The sequence below is a fragment of the Homo sapiens genome, chromosome 2, assembly GCF_000001405.40.
Source record: "Homo sapiens chromosome 2, GRCh38.p14 Primary Assembly".
Taxonomy (NCBI): Eukaryota; Metazoa; Chordata; class Mammalia; order Primates; family Hominidae; genus Homo; species Homo sapiens.
The window spans coordinates 189,827,853-189,846,880 of NC_000002.12; the positions used below are offsets into that span (position 1 = coordinate 189,827,853).

Consider the following 19,028-nt stretch of genomic DNA (forward strand, 5'->3'; position numbering starts at 1 on the left):
GAAGGAGGAAAACTGGAGGGGTTGGTCCATGGGGATAAAGTTATGGTTAGGAAAAATAAGGTTTTGTTTGTTTGTTTGTTTGTTTGTTTGAGACAGAGTCTTGCTCTGTCACCCAGGCTGGAGTGCAGTGGTGTGATCTCGGCTCACTGCAAGCTCCGCCTCCCGGGTTCACGCCATTCTCCTGCCTCAGCCTCCCGAATAGCTGGGACTGCAGGCACCTACCACCACGCCCGGCTAATTTTTTGTTTTTTTTAGTAGAGACGGGGTTTCACCATATTAGCCAGGATGGTCTCGATCTCCTGACCTCGTGATCTGCCCACCTTGGCCTCCCAAAGTGCTGGGATTACAGGCGTGAGCCACTGCGCCCGGCCCAGGAAGAATAAGTTCTTATATTCTGTCACACCGTAGGGACACTATAGCAAATAACAGTGTATTGTGTATTTCAAGATATCTAGAAGAGCTTTTGAATGTTGTCATCACAAAGAAATGAGAAATGTTTGAAATGATAGGGTAATTGCCCCGATTTGATCATTGTATTATGTATACATGCATTAAAACATCACATTGTACCTCATAAATGTGTAATTATTGTGTGTCAATTATAAATTTAAAATCAAATGCTTTAAACACTCAATTGCAGAGTTCACTGGTAAATACTTCACTGTAATAAAGCATCTCTCACAATGTATCTCTGAAGAAACATTCTCAGATTTAGCTTTTCAACCTGTATATGTAAACTCTTCACAGTGTCACAGTGGTAAAATTAAAATAGTTAAAAATCATGCTCTAGATGAAAAAACTAGATTATAGGGTTTACTGGTAAACATTAAGTTCACTGTAATAAATAAGCTCACAATGCATCTCTGAAGAAACATGCCCAAACTTAGCTTTTCAACCTTTGTATATAAACTCTGCCATAAGTCGCAATGGTCAAAACCATAGTTAGAAAGCATGTTCTAAACATTTGATGACAGAGTTCACTGATTGGTAAACAGTTTAATTCACTGTGAGAAAGCAGCTCAAAGTGTGTCTCTGAAAAAAAAAAAAAAAAAGAGGACGTAGAAGGATCCTTAGATCTTTACATCTGAAAAGACCACTGAAAATGTTTTTTGTCCTGCCTCAAATCTTTTAGCAAATAGTGTTTTTAATCCTGTCCACCTCCCCTTTTACCTTTATGTGACCCCAAGAGTTTTAGTGGATTGCCCAATGACTTAAACATTGAATATAGTAGAGGATGAACTACAGTTCACATATCTTAATTTTTAATGCATCATTCATCCTCCCTTACTGTAGCTTCCTCCCACCAACTATACTCAGAGTACTGAGTAGGTGCTTTGGAAGGGTTAAGTGATGGCTTGCACTCTGAAGAAAGTTACGATGTAAATGAGGAGATAAGATGTGAAAGTGTGTAAACATAACATAAATATACCGTAGACCTTGTCATTGCCCAAAACCACACTCACTCCATAATTTCACTGTTAATGTGTTCCTTCTCTAATCACTACCTGATGCCTCTCTATCTTACTCTCTTCAACAATCCTTAGACTCTGTTGGACCTGTGATCCCTTGTTCCTACTGCTTTTTAACTGTTTCTTGCCCCCTGGTGTCCTTGGTTCTCTCCTTACCCTGCTTAAATTTTGTGGTCCATCATTATCATCCTTCTCTTGGGCACTCTGTCAGTTCTCTTGGTCCTTTCTCACTTAATTGTACTTGTTTGACTAAATCCTGATTAAATCCATCTGGTCATCATTTTGGTATCTGAGCCAGTATGTAGGGGAAGAAAACCCACACCCATGCTGAATAGTGCCTCTGTAAATTCATGAGCATTAATCTTCATGCTGCCAGACAGTCATACTCCTGTTTTTCCAGTCAGCAAACCAGAAGCCTTAGGGTTATTCTTCGCTACTGATTCTCTCACACTCTAATCTGATTCCAGAGTAAATTCCGTAGGTCTATCTTTAAAATATATCCAGAATCTAACGACTTTTCACCATGTCTGTGACTACCACTGTGGTCCAAGCCACCATTATCTGTCACCTGGATTTTTGTAATAGTATCCTAATGGACTCTCCCTGCTTACTTCTTATCCTCTTCAGTGTATTTTCAGCTCAGTGATTCTGTAAAAATGTGTCAGATCATATAACTCATGTTTAATTAGTTCCCATCTCATTCAGAGTAAAATCAAAGCCTTTATAAGCGGACTGTGAATTCTCTATTGGGGTCAGTATATTTTTTTCTGTATAGAGTCAGATGGTAAATATGTTAGGTTTTTAGGGCCGTATAGTTTCTCTTACAGCTGTTCAGCCCTGTTGTTGTAGTGTGAATGTAGCCATAAACAATAATACTTTATTTACAAAAACAGGAAGGCCATGGGCTGTAGTTTGCTGACCTCCGTAGATCTGATGCCTCCTTTACCTCTGATTTCATTAATCTTTTTCCTTTTGCTCATTTTGCTTCAGTTGTTTCTGGAACCTGCGAGTCATGCTTCCAGCTCAGGACTGTCGCATTTGTAGTTTCTTTGCCTAGAACATTTTCCCTCAAGTAACTGGTTCAATCCTCAACTTTTAGGTCTTCACTTAAACTTTCTCCGTGAGGCTTTCTTTAGCCTTCCTAAAATTGCAACCATTTCCCCTGTCCCCCCGCTTCCCCACTTTCCTGCTTTATTTTTCTTGAACTTATCAGTATCCAATATGCTATATATTTTATTTGTCTTGATTTATTCTCTCTCCTCCTCTAGAATATAATTTCCTTGAAGGGAAGGACTTTGGCTCTTTTTTCACTGTCATATCCCTAGTGCTTACAGTAGTGCCTCAAGTGGGTGCTCAAAAAACATGTCAAATGAATGAGGGCTGACAACAGGATCAAGGGCTGAGAACAGGAGCACTCCATTATGCTGGTGGCACCAGCCCAGCTGGACTGTAAGCGTAGGCCTTAAAGCACCTGAGATCCAGAAGCAGATGGTATCAGTGTAGATTAAAGGTAACAACTGGACAGAGAGATAGCAAAACAGCAAGTATTAGCTCTCATACTCTAGACACTTCCCACTTCTATTGGTTGGGAGACTTCTAGAAAGTCACCAAAAAGGGAGGGGTGAGCCTGGCCACTTGGTAGGTGGGTGGTATTCATTCAGTGGAGTAGGAACAACTCTGAACGTGATTTTCATCTAGGACCCCCAGGTGGTTGGGTTATAGGAAAATTTTGTTACAGCAGAATTTGGTTATGTGGATAAAATGGTCAAGATTATTCTAAGTAGAGATAGAGAAATAGTTTAAACATAAAATACATAGGCAGGAGAGCACATTTAGAGGCAGTGAAGAAGTTTCTTTAAATGAGTTGGTATTTAATATGAGAGAATAGAGGAAGATAAATCCAGCAATTTAAACTTTTTAAATGAGAAAATTGGAAGGCATTAAAAGTTTTTAAGTAGGGAATTGACATGATCAAGATGCTGCTACCTTTGAAAGTCAGTTTGGCAGTACTCTACAGGGAGGAGCTAGGGAGACCATAAACATTTAGGAAGCTGCTATAAATTGTAGGCTTTAAGGGCCTGAATTCAGACAAACACATTAGGTGTGAAAAGCACAAAGTGTCTATTTTCTTTTATAGCTATTATGAGGAAGAATCAATGGGACTAGCTGTGAGTGGCAAAGGACCAGAAAAGGTTTGAAGATAACTGATTTATTTAACTTATATGCCTAAGGAAATAATACTGCATCCTTTTTTAAACCCTGAATGCACACATTTGAGTTTCTCCTATAATGTATTACCTTCATGAATTACACTGACATAATTTTGATTTTACTCCTAAAAGAAGCTTATAGAAACAAAACTTTTAAAGTGAAATCATTACTGCACCAGTAGAGAGTTGTTAGTCAATTCAGAGAGAAAAGCTAATCAGCTCTAGGCTGGATAGTATTTATTTTTTAAAATTTAAAAATTTTTTTTTTAAGACAGAATCTTGCTCTGTTGCCCAGGGTGGAGTGCAGTGGCATGATCTCAACTCACTGCACCCTCCGCCTCCCAGGTTCAAGCAATTTCTGGTTATTTTTAGTATTTTTAGTAGAGATGGGGTTTCACCATGTTGGCCAGGCTGGTCTCAAACTCCTGACCGCAAATGATCCTCCCGCCTCGGCCTCCCAGTGGATGTTATTTGTTACCCTTAAAACTTGTTGCTTGTTTTGAAAAAAGGCCCAGAAGTAGAATAAAGAACCATATTGTTGAGATGTTTGCCTGAACAAAATAGGTTGTATGGGAAGGGAAATAACATTGGTTAGGTACCAGGGAGCTAGCTGATGGGAGTGTTATAAGCTCAGTGTCTGTGTGTTTGGTCTTAATTTGAAGGAGAATAACTTAAGAATCATGTAGAGGATGGAGTTGTAATGCAGAAGAGATGATTGGGATGGCTTCATTTTGAATGAAAAACAATGTAATCTATAGGGTGTTCTATTAAATGAAAATAGTAAAGGCTGAAATCAAATACTGCTATGTTGTTACAAAGCAATAGCAGCTTGATTTGTGAGTAACCTTTTCTGTAAAGTCAAATATGTTAGAAATGAGCAATTGCCTCAGGGTTCAAAGACTGAAGAACTTATCAGCAAGGCTGACCAGAAGGGTTTTCTTTTTTTTTTATTGAGATGGAGTCTCACTCTGTCGCCCAGGCTGGAATGCAGTGGCACAATCTCGGCTTATTGCAACCTCCGCCTCCTGGGTTCAAGCGATTCTCCTGCCTCAGCCTCCCGGGTAGCTGGGACTACAGGCGCGTGCCACCATGCCCAGCTAATTTTTTGTATTTTTAGTAGAGACCGGGTTTCACTGTATTAACCAGGATGGTCTTGATCTCCTGACCGTGTGAGCCACCACACCTGGTCACGTTTTCTTTAAACAGTATTAAGAAGTACAGATAATATAGAGGCAGAGAAGAGAGCTTCAAATATTGTCGTATTTACCTAACTTTAGTGCTGTTTGAAAGGTAGGTAGTGAACTTTAGAAGGCCAGTTATTGAAATATTTGTTACTTAAATAGTAGTCTCCTATTCCTAAATCATTTTATTATGTATTTTAAATAATAAAATACAAAATGGATACTACTGTATTGAACAGCTCCTGAATATTATTACTAGTGTCAAGACCAACCATCTCCCTCTGCCAGCTTTGTTCTTGAAAACAGAATGTTACACATTTTAATGTGGTAAGTGGGCCAAGAGAGTTCTAAAAGGTACGTTTTTAAAATTCATCCCCAATGTCTAAAAACACACATTAACTTCTTTTTCTTCTTCCTTTTCTGTGTGAAATTTGAGTAAACTTACTGTTGATTTGCTTCTCATAGAATAGTGTTGACCTTTTCTCGTAGTTGCAGTGACCTATATTTAAGTTAAAGCTTGAGCTGGCTAGTATAAGAAACAAAATTTGCTTTCCATTAGTTATTTAAATATAGTTAATATAAGAAGTAAATTTATGGCCGGGTGCAGTGGCTCACACCTGTAATCCCAGCACTTTGTGAGGCCGAGGCAGGTGGATCATGAGGTCAAGAGACCATCCTGGCCAACATGGTGAAACCCCGTCTCTACTAAAAATACAAAAATTAACTGGGCATGGTGGCACGCGCCTGTAGTCCCAGCTACTCAGGAGGCTGAGGCAGGAGAATTACTTAAACCTGGGAGGCAGAGATTGCAGTGAGCTGAGATCACGCCATTGCACTCCAGCCTGGTGACAGAGTGAGACTGTCTCAAAAACAAAAAAGAAGTAAATTCATTTTCATTTGGGTAATTAAATATTTCATATATACCAACTGATACTTTTTCATTAGGCTTTGCTTATAAACTTTAAATGTTATAATGATATGATTATTTTTAAAAACCTGAACCCCCCCTACTTCCCTGCTGGAAGAAACCATACCTGTAGCAGCACTATGTGGGAGACTTGTCTTGATGGATGAGAATAATTCTTAATTAATCTTTTTTCCTTTATTTGTTATAGGAAGTGCTTTAGATCTTCAAGATTTTTACTTTTGAGGAAAAAATTATAGAACTTTCAGAGACCACCACAATCTTCCTTTCATCCTTAGGAAGAACTTACTTAACTACATATCAATAAAATAGACTCTGGAGCATAGTTTCCAGTTCTGACCTTACATATTGTCACTAACTGGCTTACATTACGTGTCTAGGCTTCAATTTCTTTGTCTCTTTAAAATGGAATAATAGTACCTACCTTACAGAGTAAGGTTTTTAAATGAGAGCATTCACAGCACAGCGCCTGCTCCATAAGTACTCAGTAGAGGTTAATTGCTATTGTTATTGATGTGAATATTGTTTAAAATCTGATTAGAGTCAAAAAGGATTATTAGAGGAAGTGGCCTTAAGACTGGTTCTTCGGAAAGACTATGTGGGCAGAGGTATTCAAAGCAGGGAGAACAGCATGTGCAATGTCAGGGAGTCATCAGAGGTCAGAGAAAGCTTGTCTAAGAAATGAGATGAGGCTACGAAGCTTGCTTGGAGCCAGATTCTGAAGGACCTTGTGTATCTTACATGGGAATGTGTACTTCTTGTTGAAGTGACCAAGAGGGAACTAAATGAGACATTTCAGTAGGAGACTAACAAAATAAGATAATTCTCATTGCAGTTGGAGGATGGACTAAATTATGTTTAATTGTTGTTAAGAATGTGGAAAATGATCTCGTTGTCTGGCAAGTTACACAAGGAATGGAGAAGAGGGTCTAGGCAAGAAAAATATTTCCGATGTAAATAAGATTTGATTACGAATTGGAAATAATCTTTCTTGTTTTTAAAGACTGCAAAGAAATGAGTCTCAACAATATCCCTTTGAAAGTTATGCAGAGATTAACTTTATACCTTTACATTTTTATTAATGTTTTATTCTATTTCATTTTATTTTTAGAGACAGGGTCTCACTCTGTTGCCCAGGCTTGAGTGCAGAGGCATGATCATAGCTCACTTCAGCCTCAAACTCGTGGGCTCAAGTGATCCTCCTACCTCAGCCTTCTGAGTAGCAAGGAACACAGGTGCATGCCACCATAACTGGCTAATTTTTTAATTTTTTGTAGAGACAGGGTCTCACTGTGTTGCCCAGGCTGGTCTTGAACTCCTGCCTCAGCCTCCCAAAGTGCTGGGATTACAGGCCTGAACCAACATGCCCAGCTTATTATTTAATTTTTTAAAAGATCATACCTTTACATGGTTGAAAACCCAAAAATGTATGAAAAGGTAGAATGAAAAAATTATTCTTTTCTTTATCTTTCATCTGCCTAGCTCCTATAAACTGCCCCTTCTTTAGGTAAAATGTCTATTAATTTCTTTGCAACCTTCAGGAAAAATAATTATGCATGTTCTCTTTCAAGAAAAGAATATAAAATTAAATAAGTGTAAGAGATTTTAGAACTCATTTATACTGCATAAATTTTACCAAGACAATCATTTTTGAAAGTTTGAGGCTGCTTAGCAATAATCAATTCATATTAATGTTTATTATGTCAGTAGAATGTGGTTTGTTCTTTTAACAGTAGTATTGATACTGTGATGGAATAATCTATAATTTTATACTGAATTCAAAACATTTAGCAGTGTCTTAGTGGTAAGCTGCTGTGGCTCATATTGTTCCTGTGTTGCCAATGTGGGAAATAAAACAACCTTTTAAATATTGTGTTTGTGCCTCTGTACTTTTTGGAGTCAGAGTCAGTGCAAGTACATACGCAGGAGTAAATAATAATAGATATAGATCTATTTATAGTAACTTGTAAGATCTTAGAAGTAAACTTATGGTACTTAAGAAATTTGCCTGGGTATGGTGGCTCACACCTGTAATCCCAGCACTTTGGGAGCCCAAGGTGGGAGGATCGCTTGAGTCCAGGAGTTCAAGACCAGCCTAAGCAACATGGTGAAACCCTTTCTCTTCAAAACGTACAAAAAAATTAGCTGGGCGTGGTAGTGTGCACCTGTAGTCCCAGCTAATCGGGAGGCTGAGGCAGGAGAATCCTTGAGTCCAGGAGGCTGAGGCTGCTGTCAACTATGATCACACCACTGTACTCTAGCCTGTCTCAAAAAAAAAAAAAAAAAAAAAATTCATTGGTGCTGCTTCTTGTTTGGTGGAAAAAAAAAAATCCAAATATGAGCTTAGTACATCTGTGCCTACAATTTGCAAGAATTTTGGCTGCAGTCTAGGCCAATAATATATCCTCTTTATTTAGAAGGAGTTGACTTTGCTCAAGCAGTTTTAGCATTGTACTATTCACTTAACTATGCATCATCTGTGTGCAGCCTACATTTCTCTTTATCACAAATTGCCTTTACAAACAATTGAGGTTTACTAATTAAATATCGAGTATTCTCATCTAACTTCATTTTCTTCAAGTAGCGTATGTCAGTGAGGTAGGAATTAGGGGCAAGATATATTTGGCTAACTTCAAACCTAAGATGGTGTGCATGTAATAATATATTTTTGAGGTGTTTTTGCACTGTCATCATACTGACTAGAGTCAGATTCTTAGTTGGCACATCCAGGTGCTCCAACTTTGTGTGACCTAGATAGAAAACATATGGAGGTTTGTGTGTATTTTTAGCACATGTTAAGCTTTCGGCCTAAGGGCAAGATTTACAAAAACCTTCAGGAAGTGAAAAGAAAATCTCTGTTTTTGAAAATAACATAGAATTGATGAAACGGTAGAGAAAGCAAACTGAATACTGTATTCTGGATTCCCAGTATTCCCAGTTCTTATTCATCACATTTTATAGTTTAGTTTTTTAGTGATGGGTCCTGTTTTGAAAATGAATCTTAGTTGCCCAATGAGAAGATTTTACTTGTTGGCAGACCGCTATTATTTATTGCTAGCCCAAGTGTAACTAGTTTAGAAAATGCTCTTAAATTAGCCCCTCGATCTGATGCAATAAAAATTGCCTAGTGTGAAATAATGCTCCCAGACTCCTAGCATGTTTACTTTAAAGTGAAATCACATTGCATAGTTCTCATGTTTCACAGCTTTTTCTAGGACCGATTTCCTGAAGTGATCTTTTTACGGTTGTGTATACTAACTATTCAGCAGGTCAGGCAGTGAAATAGCATCCTTGCATTAATCAGCAGCTAAGATTTATATCTGTATCTAAGGCATCTAATATAAACTAAAATAAACAAGATGATGTTTACATTAGTAACACTGCAGGCTTTTTAGCTATATTCAGTGCAGGAATTTTAAAACATTAGTTTTTTGAAATATTTCCTTGAATGCTTTATTTTAAAAATGTCAATATCAGAGAGTTAGCATTCCTTTAAAGAGGTACACTTTTTGTGAATAAGTTTGGTGTTTTTTTTTTTTTCTTTTTAGGGAGGGGGTCTTGCTCTGTCACCCAAGCTGGAGTGCAGGGTGAGCCACTCCCACCTCAGCCTCCTGAGTAGCTGGGACTACAGGCATGTGCCACCATGCCCAGCTAATTTTTTATTTTTTTTTTATAGAAACAGGGTCACACTATGTTGCCCAGTCTGGTATTGAACTCCGGACCTCAAGTGATCCTCCCACCTTAGCCTTGTGAATAAGTTTTTATGGTTCAGCTATTCTTTGTCATAAGGAACTTCTGATGTGGAAAGTATGAAGCAGGGGACATTTCATTTCCTGTAATTGCAGATTATTCAGAACCTTATTTACTTCCTTTAATTTTGAACATTGTTCCTTAAATTATTAGCTGTTGGCTGGCTTAAAACTAGAGCCATAATAGCAGAAGCCAGTAGTTTGCCTTTCCAGAGTGCATGTGCACGCAAAGATTACAGTCTGGCAGTTCTTCAAAAAACATGGAGCTACCATGTGGCCCAGCAGTTCCACTCATAGATCTATACCCAAGAGAAATGAAAACATATGCCAACATAAAAACATGAACATGCATGTTTATGGCAGCATCAGTTATAATAGCCAAAAAGTAGAAACAACTCAAATGCTCATTAACTCATAAAAGGATAATTCAAATGTATTATCTACAATGGAATATTATTCAGCCATTTAAAAGGAATGAAGTACTGATATAAATAAACTTGAAAAGGTTATGCTAAGTGAAAGAATCCAATCAAAGACCATATATTGTATGATTCCATTTATATGAAACATCCTAAGTGGGCAAATTTTATATAGAGAGAAGATAGATTAGTGATTGAAAAGGGATAGGAGTCACTGATGATGGATATAGGTTTTCTTTTTGGACTGATAAAATTGTTCAAAGATTAAATCATGCTGTTGGTTGCACAGCTCTGTGAATAATAAAAACCATTGAATTATAAATCTAAAGTGGGTGAATTGTAGAGTATATGAATTATACCTTAAACTGTTATGTTAAGAGGAAAGAAAAGCAAAGATTGGTTTGGATTTCCTTAGGTCAAGTAGTAGACAAAAAGTGTAATTTTAACAGGTATGGTGGTGTGACAACTAGCAGCCTTATCTCTGAAAACAAAGAGCTAGTTTTCAACTCTACTGGGGTTACTTTTCCCTAGGGAAAAAAAAATGTGTTTATTTGCTCATTCCTTTAACGAAAGTATTTAGTATTTAGTGGGCCTTACTAGGTGTCTGGTACTGTTCTTGGTACCAGAGACTCAACACTCAACACTGAACAAGCTGAACTCATCATCTTCCTGCCACCAATCCTGCTCTTCTGAGTTTCTTATCTTGTTGAGTGTTACTACCACCATTCCAGTTTCCCAGGTCAGAAATCTGGGAGGCATTCTTGATTCTTCTCTTTTTATTCCCTCTCCACATGGAGTCAGTCATCAAGCCCATTTCGTACCCTTTAGTCTGTCCGTTTTCTCTTTTCCTCCTACCAGAGTGTTGGTTCTGTTAACACAGCCCAGTAATTCTCAGCCGCAGTATATTAATACTAGTAAAGTACCAAAGTTTGCAAATGGTTTATCTTAAAAAGCAAACGAAAAAAACCTAAGGGAATAATCCTGTCAACATCAGTTTCACTGACTTGCATTCCACCGAACTTTTGCAAGAGGAAGAGAAAGCTGTAGCATGATAGCTAGTATATTAGGAATTAATTACACATAGTCCTCAGGTCACCTATCGGAATATTTTTTGAATGTGAACTTTCAGTTTTGCATGTCTTTCGTAAAAGCTGAGAGTCTCTGAGTTGGAGGAATACAATCACTTTTTTTTTTCTTTTTTTGAGACAGAGTCTCTCTCTCTGTTGCCCACATTGGAGTGCAGTAGCGCGATCTCAGCTCACTGCAACCTCCATCTCCTGGGTTCAAGTGATTCTCATGCCTTAGCCTCCCAAGTAGCTAGGATTATGGGTGCCCGCCACCATGCCTGGATAATTTTTTTGTTTTTAGTAGAGATGGGGTTTCACCATGCTGGCCAGCTGGTCTTGAACTCCTGACCTCAAGTGATCCACCCGCCTTGGCCTCCCAAAGTGCTGGGATTACAGGCACGAGCCACCACACCTGGCCTATGATCACATTTTATAAAAATCATATTGCTATAGTTTCAGTTCTCACTAAGTCATTCTTGCCAAAGATCTTTTTCTAATATCTATCTCTGATCATGGTATTTTCCCAATTAGATTTATCCAGTGACTCTACATTGCACGTAAGGGAAACTATAAACCCCTTTGCACGATGTGCCAGGTCATTCGTGATTTAGCCCCTATCTGTCTAGTTTCATCTCTAGCAAGGCATTCTCTCTATATGTTCATGATTTGGCATGTACTATCCTATTTGTCAGGAATGCACTTCTTGTGATTTGTCTTAGAGACAAACTCCTGTCAAGTCTGATTGTACTTGTGGCTTCTCTGTGCAACTGACTTAGGTTTCTTCTATGATGCTCCCACTGTGCTATGTAATAGTAGTTTTTATAATGTATTATAATTATTTTAAGATTTTGCTTTCTTTTTATATTTTTAGCTCCTTTAGAGCTGGGACCTTGTCCTTTTATCTTTATATTCCCAGATTTTAGTATGGAATCTGGAACAAAATTGATGCTCAATATGTATTTGTTGAACAAACTCAAAATTAGTTACTTTAAAATTTTTTATTTAACCAAAATATGTTATAGTATGAGACGAAATTAAGGGATTAAAATATGCTTATGGTGACTCTACATCCCATTTCCTGGAGCAATTCCAAATTTAAATAGTCTACTTCATTGGCCTTGAAATGTAATTAACAAAACACACCATAATTTTGTTTAGAAATGCAATATACACATTGAACCTATACCTTATATTTAAAATTGTATACAATTTATTTTTATACTTTGATTTCATATACTTGTTAAAAGAAAAACTTTAGATAAACTAAATTTAACAGTGTTTATTTGAGCAAATAACAGTTTACAAATCAGGCAGCCCCCAGAGCCAGAGTAATTTCAGAGCAAGTCCAGGGCTGCTGCATGGTCAGATGTTATTTCTGGACAAAAAAAAATGAAAGTGATGGACAGAAAACCAAAGTGAGGTGCAGAAACAGCTGGATCGGTTATAACTTAGTGTTTGCCTTATTTGAACACAGTTTGAACAACTGGCTGCCTGTGATTGGCCGAAACTTTGTGATTGGTACAAGAGTAGGTTACAGCCTGTTGACACATCCATTTAGGTTACATTTCACTATGTATGGAGAAACTTATAGGCCAAATGTAAAATATACAAGGAGGCAACTTTAGGCTAAACTTAATTTAACATACTTTATGTCTTTTTTCTTATACAGGTCACTTTGAAAGCAATAATAGTGAAAAGTTGAAATTTAGGATGGAGAAATACCTGAATTATTTTTTAGCTCTGCTATTTTGCTGTGCATTATGATACTAATTATTGCATATCTGTATGAAAATGAATGCAAATTTTTGAGAATTTATAAATCCTTAGGTATAAGGATCTGCATAATATGATTAAGGTTGTTACCAAGAACTATATTCTCAAAAATATTCAGACTTTAGGATGCTAGAATAGTAGCTTTCAATCTTTTTGGACTTTACTATTCTAATGTGCTTTTTTTGAGTTGAGAACCCCAGTGTACTCCTTGCCCTCCTAAAAGCAGATTATTTATTTGAATAGGATAAAAATAATTTTGTTTTGTCTTCACTGGTACCCTCAATTGGAGATTACACAGCGTATCACAAGGCCATGGGGGATAATCATACATGAAAAATGCATTTGTCAGTCAGACCCTTTACTTTTTGAGAATTCCCAATTAGAGTCTGGAGTTGGTTCTAAATTGTTGTTGTCATTGACTAGACAGGGGATAAATATTGGCAAAGTAAAAGGAGTGAATGTTTAGAGCCAAAAAGATTGAGTATAGATCTTGGTTCCATGACCTACTATTTTTGTTTCTTTGGGTGTAACAATTTCTTTTGAGTTTCAGTTTCCTCATCTGTAAAATGAGATAATAATACCTACCTGAAATGATTGTGAAAATAAACAGTAGTTTCTAGAACAGTAGTACCTAACAAAGAATAAGGTTTTCATAAATTTCAGCTCTTATCTGATTGGTATCAATACAACTCTAGGAATAGGTAAAAGATCTTCCTGTTAAACTAAATGTTGAGTTATTTGTCTTACTGAGTAGTTGTTACACTATCTCTGCTTTCCCAAGCAGGTTGCTGTTTGAGACTCTAAAAACAAAGTGGTTTGCAGATGGCACAGATCAGCAAGCAGAGTCATTGATTATTGTCACCTTTTCCAGGAGAGTGCATTCCTTCATTTCTATTCCTGATGTGCTAGTTAGAGAACATGAGTCTGTTTACTTCACCTTTCATCTTATTATACGTAATATCATTACCACTACTTCCTGACTACATAGATTCCTGGTTATGGTTAAGGAGTTCCTTTGGCCAGAATCCTTTGGTCCAGTCTCCTCTCTCTTTCTCTGTTATAGACTTCTGCCTCTTTTAGACTGTAGGAAAACAAGACTCTCCCAAGAGTGTGCTGGACATCATTGGTTTTCAAATGGTTAAACAATGCAACTTCACACATGTAGAATGGGAAGCAGAATTTTATACCTCCTCCATAATCATCAAATATTTAAATCACTGTTATTTTGCTTTCAACAAAAGACCTCCTTTCTGCATTTTAGAACAAAGGGGAGCTGTCTCAGCCTCCAGCCACTGAGTCTCCAAACCTGCTTGCTAGTGTACCCATTCTTCCCCTTCAGTTTCCTGGTCAAATGTGTCCTATTCCTGCCTCGTTATTTCCCTGTCTGCTTGCATTTCCCAGCCAGACTTTCTGAAACACTTGTTTCAGAAAAGTCCTTTTTTTTATATCCTCCCCATAGTCACTATCCAAATTGGTTCCATTTACTTCTCTAGAACTGTTCTCACACTCTTGATTGCCGTTTAGCCAGCCACGTCTGTTCCTACCATACTCACTCAACATTGGAAACATATGATGACTACTTTCTTCAAAAACGTCCTTATTCTGTGTACCACACTTTGCTGCTGCTCTTTCTGCCTCTGTGACCACTCCTTATAGGTTCCTTTTCTTCTTGTGCCTGCCCCTTTAATGCTGATATTGATGTTTTCTCCCAAGCCCTTTGGACAGTTTCCTCCAGACTTAGGAATTGCTAAGTGAATTTGTTGAATTCTACCTGTACTGATGATTTCTCAAGGGATTTGACTGTAATTGGACCTTGTTGAACTGAAGAAATTGCAGTATGTCAAATCTGATTATGTACTTCACAGCCAAACCTTGGTCTAGTCTCTCTGGACCATGATTGTCTTAAAATCTACCCCATGTTGACCTAAAAGGAAGAAGCTGAGGCAGAATTAATATTGAGAGTTTATTTGAACCAGTGTTGAGGACAGCTGCCTCAGACACACTTCCAAATTACTTTGGGGAGTGCTCCATTAGGCTTCTGTTACAAGCAGGTTTTTAAAAGCAAAAAGGGAGACAAAGAGTGAGTTGATAGAGTTGTTTGTCAGGAATTTTGATTAGTAATTAGCTATACATCATTGAGCTATAGGGCATGGATTATGGTGTCTGGTGTGTGGCATTGTTAGGTCAGTGGCTACTTGTGGCAATAGCAAGCAGTTTTCAATAAATACTTAGCTCAAGGGGGGAAATTACTATCATTTTAATGCCTCTCTGGGCCTGATAATTTAAAAGGGCTCACATTTTGCAGATACAAAGTATTTATATATATATATATACACACACACATATATGTGTGTGTGTATATATATATTTTTTTCTTATTTTCTTTTTTTAAGACAGAGTCACGCTCTGTCACCCAGGCTGGAGTGCAGTGGCGTGTTCTCGCCTCACTGCAACCTCCGCCTCCCCAGTTCAAATGATTCTCCTGCCTCAGCCTCCCAAGTAGCTGGGATTATAGGGGCATGCCACCACACACAGCTGATTTTTGTATTTTTAGTAGAGACAGGGTTTCACCATATTGGCTAGGCTGGTCTCGAACTCCTGACCTCAAGTGATCCGCCTGCCTCAGCCTCCCACAGTGCTGGGATTACAGGTGTGAGTCACTGCAAACAACCTATTGTTTCTCTCTCATCTCCAACATACTCGCAGTGAAAAAATCCAGCCTCATTATTCAGCTTTTATGTTTACAGATTCAGTTAACATTTTGTGAATTCTCTATTTCAAAGGTACAAAGGTAATTTTAAATTATGATTTAATTAAGAATGCTCTTTCCGAAATTTTTATACCTGTTTGACTGTTTATGTAAATCCTGTAACATAGCTGATCATCCTCAGTAAAACAGTAATACCTTACTTGAAGCAGCAATTTGTTTTTAAATATACACGGAAGTCTATGTTTTGAATGTGAGGATTGGAGGTGGAGAGAGAATCGATATTTAGTGAAACTGTTTTATGCCAGGCACAGGCATATGTGCTTGTCTCCATATGGATTTTTATCTTCCAACAACTCTGAGAAATCTTGTAAAGAGGAGAAAACCAAGGTAAAGGGAAGTTAAATAGATGGTACACTGCAACATATACAGCTTTTAAAATTCAGAACCAGAGTTTCTTCTGTCAGACCTCATAGCTCATGAATCTCTTCTAAGTGATACTGAAATTTTAAGCTGAGGATGAATGCAAAATATAGGAATAAAATACTGACTTCTTGAGTTTAGTAAATCTAAATTGTATTAAAAGTTATCTATATCATTTTTGTCCCTAGGCAGTTATTTGGCAGAAAAGCAGAGTATCAGATCACAAGATGGCTCTCATGTCAGTTCTGGGGACTGCTGTTATGAACAATATGGAATCCTTTCAGTACCACTCTGAAGAATCTCAGGTATACTGCAAAAACATTCTCAGATAATTCTGATTTACTCATGAAGCTGTTCACATATTTCCCTTTGGGGGAGTTACAGTGGCAAGAGGTTAGTCTTTTAATATTTTAATCAAATATGTGTGTAAGGTAAAACAGTCAATACAGAGCTTATGTTAAACCTCTTTCCCCAGCCCTGCTTCCCTTTTTATCTTTTCTGTTTGTTGCTTACATTGATTTTCAAAAAAATTATGTTCAATTTAGAATCTTTTCTGTTTACTTTCTACTATAAAAGAAAAATAGTTGGCTGGGCATGGTGACTCATGCCTGTAATTCCAGCACTTTGGAAGTCCGGGGCAGGCAGATGACGTGAGGTCAGGACTTCAAGACCAGCCTGGCCAACATGGTGAAACCCTGTCTCTACTAAAAATACAAAAATTAGCCAGGTGTGGTGGCACATGCCTGTAATCCCAGCTACTCGGGAGGCTAAGGCAGGATAATCACTTGAATCCAGGAGGCAGAGGTTGCAGTGAGCCGAGATTGCACCACTGCACTCCAGCCTGGGTGACAGAGTGAGATTCCATCTCAAAAAAAAAAAAAAAAAAAACTGTTTTCCCCCACCTTTCCCATTCCAAATATGTACTTAAAACTTTTTCTTGATCTATCAGTTTAGATAGTACTTTTTTACTCCCTAATACTGGATGACGTTCTTAACTCAAACTTTTCTTCTTACTCCTTCCTCTTTCAGTCATATCAGCAATAGTTTTATATTTTCAAGCTTAATTATATATATAATTTTTTTCTTCTTTCTTTTTTTTTGAGACAGAGTCTCACTCTGTCACCCAGGCTGGAGTGCAGTGGTGGGATCTCAGCCCACTACAGCCTCCATCTCCTGGGTTCAAGTGATTCTCATGCCTCAGCCTCCCTAGTAGCTAGAATTACAGGGGTATGCCACCACACCCAGCTAATTTTTGTATTTTTAGTGGAGACATCATTTCACTATGTTGCCCAGGCTGGTCTCGATCCTCTGACCTCAGGTGATCTGCCTGCCTCAGCCTCCCAAAGTGCTGGGATTATAGGCGTGAGCCACCACGCCCAGCCTCATAATTTCTTATGTAGCCATTTTTTAAGTCTTCTATCTTTTGTCTGAAGATTGATTCTAAAAGTTGAAAACTTGTATGGACTATAAAACAATCTTCGTTAAAAGCCCAGTATTGTAGTGGGATTACATTTTACCTCTAAAGATCCATTGTTGTATCTCTTATGCCATGCAAATGAGAATATTCCTAGAGCCCTGATTAAATGGAATCTCTGTTCTTGTACTCCCATCAGTTGCTCAAAATTTATCATGTTTTTCTTTGCTTAATAAATGGACTATCTTATGTAGTTTTTCGCTTTTTCTGGGATTTTCAAAAGTTTTTTTTTAATGAAAAAGTTTTCTTCATCATGTTAGCAATAAAATCCAACTCTTAGTCATCCTAACTGTAGTTGGTAATCCAGTTCATTACGTCTTTTTGAAGTCATTGTTCTTAGACCCCACTTATTTCTTATTTGGATCATATCTTAGGCCTTCTGCACAACTCTCATCTTCAGATATCTTTTTATAGGAATGATGGTTGGTTGCATTATTACTGGTATGTCATGCCTTCCTCTTTCTTGGCACTTATACTCATTTTTCTTTTTTTTCTTTTTGAGATGGAGTCTCGCTTTATCACCCAGGCTGAAGTGCAGTAGCGCAGTTTTTGCACACTGCAACTTCTGCTTCCGAGGTTCAAATGATTCTCCTGCCTCAGCCTCCTGAGTAGCTGGGACTACAGCCACAACACCCGGCTAATTTTTGTATTTTTAATAGAGATGGGGTCTTACCATGTTGGCCGGGCTGGTCTCAAACTCCTGACCTCAAGTGATCTGCCCACCCCGGCCTCCCAAAGTGCTAGGATTACAGGCGTGAGCCACTGCATCTGGCCCCATGCTCATTTTTCTGAGGCATATCTTTAAGTAACTTCCACAGAAAGAGGGGACATGAGAGGTAATTTTTCATGTCTGTGGCTGGGCGTGGTGGGTCACACCTGTCTCAACACTTTGGGAGGCTGAGGCACTTGGGGCCAGAAGCTCAAGACCAGCCTGGGCAACATAGTAAGACCCTGTCTCTAAAAATAAAAATGCAAAAATTGGCCCGGTGTGGTGGCTCACACCTGTAATCCCAGCACTTTGGGAAGCCAAGGCGGGTGGATCATCTGAGATCAGGAGTTTGAGAGCAGCCTGGCCAACATGGCAAAACCCCATCTCTACTAAAAATACAGAAATTAGCCGGGTATGGTGGCAGGTGCCTGTAATCCCAGCTACTTGGGAGGCTGAGGCAGGAGAATTGCTTTTGAACCCAGGAGGCAGAGGTTGCATTGAGCCCAGATCTTGCCACTGCACTCCAGCCTGGGCAACAGAGCAAGACTCCGTCTCAAAAAAAAAAAACAAACTAGTCAAGCATGGTAGTACGTGCCTGTAGTCCCAGCTACTTGGGAGGCTGAGGTGGGAGGATCCCTTGAGCCCAAAAGTTAAAGGTTACAGTGAGCTATGATCATGCCACTGCACTCCAGCCTCGGCCAGAAAGAGACCGTGTCTCAAAACAAACAAATGTAAAAAATAAGTCCAAATTTTCATGCCTGAGAATGATTTCATCTTGCACTTTCGCTTGTTGATAGTCTGGCAGACATAGACTTTTAGATTGAAATTAATTTTTGAGGTCTTGAGTATTTTTTTACTATCCATTTTTGCTAATGGGAAACAATACATTCCACTTCTTTTTTTTCTTTTTTTTTTTTTTCTG

At 38.2% G+C, this 19,028-nt stretch overlaps 1 protein-coding gene across 22 annotated transcripts in view; it reads left to right on the forward strand.

The window, feature by feature from the left end:
* The window catches only part of PMS1 (PMS1 homolog 1, mismatch repair system component), a 93,180-nt gene that overhangs the window by 43,403 nt on the left and 30,749 nt on the right, over nucleotides 1-19,028 (forward strand). For 14 of the 22 annotated variants that reach the window (NM_001321047.2, XM_017004348.2, NM_001321045.2 and 11 more), the window contains one exon: nucleotides 16,112-16,228. The exons of the other annotated variants lie outside the window; for them this stretch is intronic. In NM_001321047.2, coding sequence (NP_001307976.1) covers nucleotides 16,112-16,228 — 117 coding nt within the window. The remainder of the gene's footprint in view (nucleotides 1-16,111; nucleotides 16,229-19,028) is intronic. 22 annotated transcript variants of the gene reach the window in all.